The sequence below is a fragment of the Homo sapiens genome, chromosome 11 (genome assembly GCF_000001405.40).
Source record: "Homo sapiens chromosome 11, GRCh38.p14 Primary Assembly".
In the NCBI taxonomy this organism is placed as follows: Eukaryota; Metazoa; Chordata; class Mammalia; order Primates; family Hominidae; genus Homo; species Homo sapiens.
Window position 1 is genome coordinate 96,427,270 of NC_000011.10, and position 1,166 is coordinate 96,428,435.

The 1,166-nt window shown below is 42.5% G+C and overlaps 1 annotated feature.

The window, feature by feature from the left end:
• Window positions 344-556: a silencer, noted in NCBI's record as "fragment chr11:96160777-96160989 (GRCh37/hg19 assembly coordinates)". NCBI's record gives its function as "represses an EF-1alpha promoter that drives an FKBP-Casp9 reporter gene in an ReSE screen in K562 erythroleukemia cells {active_cell/tissue: K562}" and the evidence as "EXISTENCE:reporter gene assay evidence [ECO:0000049][PMID:32094911]".

Genomic DNA, 1,166 nt, shown 5'->3' on the forward strand with positions numbered 1-1,166 from the left:
CTGTTCTACAATATATTGTCTAGAGGTTTCATTTTTTATTTTATTTTATTATTATTATTTTTGAGACTGAGTCTCGCTCTGTCGCCCAGGCTGGAGTGCAGTGGCGCGATCTGGACTCACTGCAAGCTCCACCTCCTGGGTTCAGGTCATTCTCCTGCCTCAGCCTCCCGAGTAGCTGGGAAGCGCCTGCCGCCACGCCCGGCTAATTTTTTGTATTTTTAGTAGAGATGGGGTTTCACTGTGTTAGCCAGGATGGTCTCGATCTCCTGACCTCGTGATCTGCCCACCTCGGCCTCCGAAAGTGTTGGGATTACAGGCGTGAGCCACCGCGCCCGGCCGAGGTTTCATTTTTAAAAAATGACAAACATTCTTGTTACTTTCTTGCACTTTTTTTTTCTTTCTTTTTCTTTTTCTTTTTCTTCTCTTTTCTTTTCTTTTCTTTTTTTTTTTTTTTGAGACGGAGTTCGCTCTGTTGCCCAGACTGGAGGGCAGTGGCACAATCTCGGCTCACTGCAACCTCTGCCTCCTGGGTTCAAGCGATTCTCCTGCCTCAGCTTCCCAAGTAGCTAGGATTACAGGTGCCCACCACCACGCTCAGCTAACTTTTTGTATTTTTAGTAGAGATGGGGTTTCACCATATTGGTCAGGCTGGTCTCGAACTCCTGACCTCAAATGATCCACCTGCCTAGGCCTCCCAAAGTGCTGGGATTACAGGCGTGAGCCACCACGCCTGACTATTGTCTTGCACTTTCTAATATAACAAAAAGTGAAGACTACTGCCACCACCAAAAACAATGCTTGCTTTGCTATAATCCTTTTCCTCAGACTGAGACACTTTGGCCTATTTAAAATGTGGGTAATGGCTCTAAAAATGCTTGTTTAGGATGCAGATGTATTCTCTATTTTGTCTTCTTTGACATTTTTATGTGGTTTTGGTTCTTTAGCATATGAAGTTTTATTTTTAATCAATCCATGATTTGTCCCTAAGTTGTTCTGATGGGAATATGAGAATACATAAAGGGAATATGAGATACAGCTCCTAGTGACAACATACTTATAGTCTAGTTGAAGACATAGACATGCCTACAAGAATTATAATTTAAAAACAAAACAGTGCGCAAGTTATTTTGATGTGCCACATCAAATTTTGTAGTTCTTTCCATCTT